Genomic DNA, 6000 nt, shown 5'->3' with positions numbered 1-6000 from the left:
AAATTGCCTCCTCGTGAAGCGAAGTGGCATTTTCCTGGGGCAGAAGAGTCCCATTATAAATGCAGCAGAAAGAAAGGATGCTTCTTTGGACTTATCTCCTAGCTTCTCTGCGGCCTGCGGGGACTGAGAGGGTGGGCGAGCTGGTGTCCACTTTGTATTTGAATGAGCTTTCCCGGGCGAAGGCGGGGTGGCCCGCGCAGAGTGCTGCTGAGACACGTTTGGTGCCCATCGAGTGCTCTTGGTCTCATGGCTTTAGAGTGAAAATGCCCGCTCGTTAATGTGTCCCCAGGCGTTAGAAGTACAGTTTAGAGCCAGGAAATGTGGCCTCCCCCGCCGGGCTCCTGGCTACGCCCCGGCACCCCACCCCGACCCCCGCCCCGCCAGCACCTGCTTTTCCGCTCCCGCGCCCCGGAGGTCCCCGGGCTGGAGCTGGGGCGCGAGCTGGCAGCGGGGAGTGGGTGGCGCCCGGACCGTCGATTGCGGGCCCGTCCCGGGAACTGCAGCGCCCTCCCCACCTGGGCAGGGCAGCCCCGCCACCCGCCCGGGCCTCGACGGGCGCGCCGCCAGGGCTGGGGAGGGGCGGCGCGGAGGGCGGGGGCCGGGCGCAGGGCAGGGCCCGGCTGTGCCTCGCCGGCCGCTCGGGCAGCTCCCGGGCCGCGGCCAGCCGAGGATCAGAGCGCTTGCCCCGGGGGTCTGTCGCGTCGCAGGCGCCGCCGGAGCCCTGGCCATGAGGACCCTGTGGATGGCGCTGTGCGCGCTGTCGCGGCTGTGGCCCGGGGCCCAGGCCGGCTGCGCCGAGGCCGGGCGCTGCTGTCCCGGCCGGGACCCCGCCTGCTTCGCCCGCGGCTGGAGGCTGGACAGGGTCTACGGGACGTGTTTCTGCGACCAAGCCTGTCGCTTCACCGGGGACTGCTGCTTCGACTACGACAGGGCGTGCCCAGGTGGGTGGTCAGGCCGAGAGTGGGGCGCCGGCCGTTAGCCTGCAACCAACGGGCACAGGGCAGGGCGCTGTGCCAAGGACCTCAGTCCCTGAGCCAGGTGTCCTCCAGACCCTTTATCCCCACCCATCCCCACCACCGCCATCCAGGTACGCCCGGCTCCGTTCATCCTAGGGTCTCCCAGTCCCCTGCTAGACATCGAAGTGTCCCCCCACCCCCAAGACAGACCAGAGCCCGGATGGAAGGGCTGGATCCCGCTGTTCTCCAGCGGGATGGAAGGGAGCCGAGAGACGAAATCTCCGACTCAGAAACTCCAGCTGGATAGGGCCACCTCTGGCCGGCAGAGATGGCACTGACAGATAAGGGGCATGCCCCTGGGCCAGGCTCCACCACCTTCATTCTGTCAACCCTCGGGGATCTTTGGGGCTGGTGAGGGGTGATGAGGGCAGGATTGTGTAATCTTCCCACTTTGTGCCAAGGGCGTGCTCTGGGAAGGTATTAATACTTTCTTCTGGAGAGCAAGGTCTTAAAAATCTGAAGATGTCCTCATCTCTGGACCCCAAAATGTAGAACAGCCTCTTTCTCCTAGGAGGTGTACAGTATGTTCTTGGAATTTAATTTTCTCTGTACAGCATGACAAGGATTTTATCTCGAGGTCCCTATTATGTTGTAATCTTGCTGGTTTTCCTTTAGGGTCAGTCTTTTTCAACTTTAAATTTCCCACAGTATCTCACAGTTCCTTGTCCCCGTAAGGGCTCAATAAAAGCTGGTTTAATTGAATTAAAAGATAAAGGAACAAATGATGAGTACAGCCTTGAGGAACAAGGTGTACCTGAGAGAAGCCAGCCATGGAAGTGGAAGTCGCCCTGCTCCTGTTAATCACATCATCCCCAAAGCCACACAGATATTAGGGTTCGAGCTGAAGGATCCCGACATGTGGGAGCCTCAGCATTTTCTGGGGCTATGCCATTCCCTGGGCAACCGGATACCCAGTGGCGGGGAGCACCCTCCTGCCTCTGTGCTGTTTGAAGAGGGCTTCAACCCGTGGCCAGGCCCGATGCTGAAAGAACACAGTTGAAAGCATTAAGATTTTTTGACCCTGGTTGAAAGCTAATGATTTACCTGTGAATATTGATATTATTTTTGATAAAGCTTTTTGATAAGCTTCTTTCCCTTTCTGGCTCTAAGTTCAGAGTATTTTACTACTAAAGTAAGATGGAAGAGTCAGCTATTTAGGAAATGCAGTGCCCTTGAGCCAGGTAACTCCAGCCCCTCCTCACAGCATCCTAAACTGTCGGCCTCATTTCCCTGCATAACTCAAGCAAAGCCTCTCTCTCATGAGGGGCTTGCATACATTTTAAAGGTAATTATGGAATTCCTGTGACCCAGCTAATGTCCCCTGATCTGTGGTAAGCGCAGGGATAGAGAAGTGACAAAGATGCAGTCTCTGCTCTCTAGGACTTTCTACTCTAGCTGGGCAACCTGTGCAAGCTCCTGTTCGACACACTTAGCACTGAAATAGTTGATCCAGGAGCTGACCTGGAAGGAAGCACTTAAAAGACCCAAGGAATTCAAGGAAGACTCACCTGAGGAAGTAATGGGCGAGCCTGGGCCTGGAGAATGAGGAAGAGGCCTGCTGGAGGAGAGAGAGGCAGGCTGTAGGAGGGAAGCCCAATGTCACAGTCCAGTAGTTACTGTGGGCATCACCTGCTTGTGCCAGGCCCTGTGCTAGGCCCTGAGGCCAAAATGGTGAACAGGACAGATGCTGGAGGCAGCCAGATCTGGAGAGATTCAGGCCCGTAAGAGGGATGAGGAGAGACAAGGAGAATGTCTTGAGAAGAACTTGCTTTCTAGTGAGACCTGACAGCGCTCCCAGGAATTGGAAAACCCTGTCTTTATTTGGTCAAAAAGAAATTGCTTATTTTCAGTCTAGGCGGTAGAATAGTGAGACAAAGAGCCTATGGTTTTGGAGTGGGGATTTAGTGGGTAAGTATGGAAGCGGTGACATGGCCTGCTGTCTTGTGAAGCTCTCAGAAATCACTGTAAGTGTGTGCCCCAGAGAAGAGCTGTGAGTGGGGGAAAAGGAGATGGTGTCAGATTGAATTTTAAAAGGAGCATATTCTGAAGCCCTCAATACCCTGTGGCAGAGTCAACAGAGGACCTTGCAGGCCTAGAAGGAAGCAGGTGGGGGACTGAAAAGCTCCGTGTTGAGAAATTCCCTGTGCCTGAAGTTTCTTGCGAAGGGAGGAGGAAAACAAAGACAATTGGAAGGTGGCCACTTGGTGGGACTGAGCCTGCCCCTCCGAGGGTGAGAGCAGAAGGCCCGGAGCCGAGAGGCCCAGCCTGCTCAGCCCTGGACCCATGCCACAACCATGCCGACTGTGGCTCCTGGGCAGGGCGGTCACCGCCTGCCTCCCGGGCTCAGAGCTGACCTGGCAGCTGGAAGCTGGTTCGGGGCAACTCCTGGAATGCAGCCTTCCCTCTCACAGATTCTAAGTCTCAAATATTTGTTTTTTATTTGTGATTTTTTTTAATCCCAGAAGTAACCCGAATGCCTCAATTTTGCCTCTAAAGTCAGAATCCTGGGTTCAGCCTTTACCCTGGTGCTGTTTGGCTTTGTGACTTTGGAGAAGTCACCCTCGTGGGGCCTAAAGTACCTCATTAAAGCGGAATGATACTGCCAGGCAGCAGTGACTCATGCCTATAATCCCAGCACAGTGGGAGGCCAAGGCAGATGGATTGCCTGAGCTCAGGAGTTTGAGACCAGCCTGGCCAACATGGCGAAACCCTATTTCTACTAAAAAGACAAAAATTAGCTGGGTGTGGTGGTGCCCTTGTAGTCCTAGCTACCCAGAAGGCTGAGGTGGGAGGATCACCTGAGCCCAGGAGGTAGAGACTACAGTGAGTTGTGGTTGTGACCATGCCACTGCACTTCAGCCTGGGCCACAGAGTAAGACCCTGTCTCAAAAAAAAGTAGGGGCAGGGGAGATGAAACCACTGTGTGGGACTGTGGAGTTGACAGAAGGAGGCTATGCCTGGCAAGCCCAGAGCACTGCACCTGGCATGTGGTAGACATTTAGGTAGCAAATGTACTGTTGGTTGGCTCTTAGCACTGGTCGACAGCGGAGAATATTTCATTTGATTAAATATTTACATCATAATTTTCTGACAACATATTGCTATAATTTGTATTCGTTAATATTAAATCATAAATACATTTTATTCAACTCACACCATGTGCCAGATACTTAATACTTTGTCTCATTTAATCCTCCCAACAATTTTTTTTTTTTTTTTGAGACGGAGTCTCATTCACTCTATCACCCAGGCTGGAGTACACTGGCGTGATCTTGGCTCATTGCAACCCCCGCCTACCAGGTTCAAGCGATTCTCCTGCCTCAGCTTCCTGAGTAGCTGGGATTACAGGCACCTGCCACCATGCCCGGCTAATTTTTTTGTAATTTAAGTAGAAACAAGTTTTCACCATGTTGGCCAGGCTGGTTTCAATCTCCTGACCTCAAGTGATCCACCTGCCTTGGCCTCCCAAAGTGTTAGGATTACAGGTGTGAGCTTACCATGCCCAGCCATCCTAACAATTGTTAAGAAAGGCAGGTCAGGTCCACAAACCCATATGACAATCCCAATCTAAAAAGTGCTAACATTTGAAAGCTTTTTCATAACTCATTTGGTGGCAAAAGTCTCACCTGACTTGCACTGATAGAAGGATATTGATCATCTTTGTTTATATTTTGCCTCAAAAATATTAATATATTTTGCAAGGATCTGCTCCAGACCCTGCTGAGTAGAGGGGGACACCCCAAATAAGGTACATAGACTGTATTCCCTTTCTAAGATCCAGGAAGTCCTGAGTACTGAGACTCAACTGCCTCAAGCATTTGGGAAAAGAACCTGGTGACCTATACTAGCATTTTTACAGACAGAACAGCTAAGGCTTTCCAAGGGTTTCCATTACTCAAGCTAACACCAATGAGCAGAGCTGAGATCTGAAGTGCCTGATTTCAGACTGCCAATTGCCACATATATTTGCCAATTTATGGCTATTACTTATTCCTAGATAAATCAGGTTTCAGCATCTTAGAACCCCCAGTTACTCTATACTCATAGAACCATTCTGCCTCTTAGACTCTCTTCTTCTCTCTTTTTTTTTCTTTTTGAGATGGGATCTGATTCTGTTGCCTAGGCTGGAGTGCAGTGGCGTGATCTCAGCTCATTGCAACCTCCACACTTCTGCTTCACAGGTTCAAGTCCATCTTCCCACCTCAGCTCCCGGAGTAGCTGGGACTGCAGACGTGTGCTGCCAAGCCTGGCTATTTTTTGTGGAGACGAAGTTTCCCCATGTTGCCCAAGCTGGTCTCCAATTCCTAGGCTCAAGCAATCTGCCTGCCTTGGCCTCCCAACATGCTGGGATTGTAGGTGTGAGCCAGGGTGCCTGGCCCTCTTTTCCTTCTTACCCATTATTTTACCTATTGTTGCTGCCTAAAGCCTTTTTTGACTGATATTACATTCAATGTGAATGGAAAATGTAACTGAGTCAGTGTAACTAAGCATGCTTTACTTCTATTCCTTCTGATTTTTTCATCTTGATAAATGCATTATTATTATTGTTATTATGTGGCTAAGAGATGAAATACTGGCATTTCTTTTTCTAAGTAAAAAGACTTTCTCAGGTAAAAACTAAAATGTTATTGAATCTATACAATTACTAAACTGTCAAAGACATCTGTTCTGGAATGATCTCAGGAAATCTCCTTATGACAATGGCATGAGTTTCAACACCAAGGGAGCATCACAGCTCCCTTCCCACCTCCTCTAAGAAAGGGATGGAAAATTCTCCACTGGCTGTGCCTTACCAGGGATGGGGAAAAGTAGAGTAGGGGAACAGATCCAAGTTTCCCTGCCCTGGAAGAACTTCTTGGAAAACTTGCTTATGAGGTGGATAACATCCCAATCTCTGATTCTCCAGCTGGGTTCCTAGAATTTGCATTTTCTAAGATCATAGAACAGTAGTTGCATTAGATCATTGATTGGCAGCTTAAGGAGA

General features: G+C 51.1%; 1 protein-coding gene across 3 annotated transcripts in view; it reads left to right on the top strand.

The window, feature by feature from the left end:
- The first annotated feature begins 622 nt into the window (after window positions 1–622).
- The window catches only part of SBSPON (somatomedin B and thrombospondin type 1 domain containing), a 28630-nt gene continuing 23252 nt past the window's right edge, over window positions 623–6000 (top strand). For all 3 annotated transcript variants that reach the window (XR_928762.3, NM_153225.4, XM_024447081.2), the window contains exon 1: window positions 623–941. Coding sequence is in view for 2 of the 3 variants with exons in the window: in NM_153225.4 (NP_694957.3) it covers window positions 728–941 (214 nt within the window). In the remaining variant the exon portion in view is untranslated. The remainder of the gene's footprint in view (window positions 942–6000) is intronic.

This window comes from Homo sapiens, chromosome 8 (genome assembly GCF_000001405.40).
Source record: "Homo sapiens chromosome 8, GRCh38.p14 Primary Assembly".
In the NCBI taxonomy this organism is placed as follows: Eukaryota; Metazoa; Chordata; class Mammalia; order Primates; family Hominidae; genus Homo; species Homo sapiens.
Note: the sequence above shows the minus strand (reverse complement) of the source record. Positions and strands in the feature narration are given on the sequence as shown.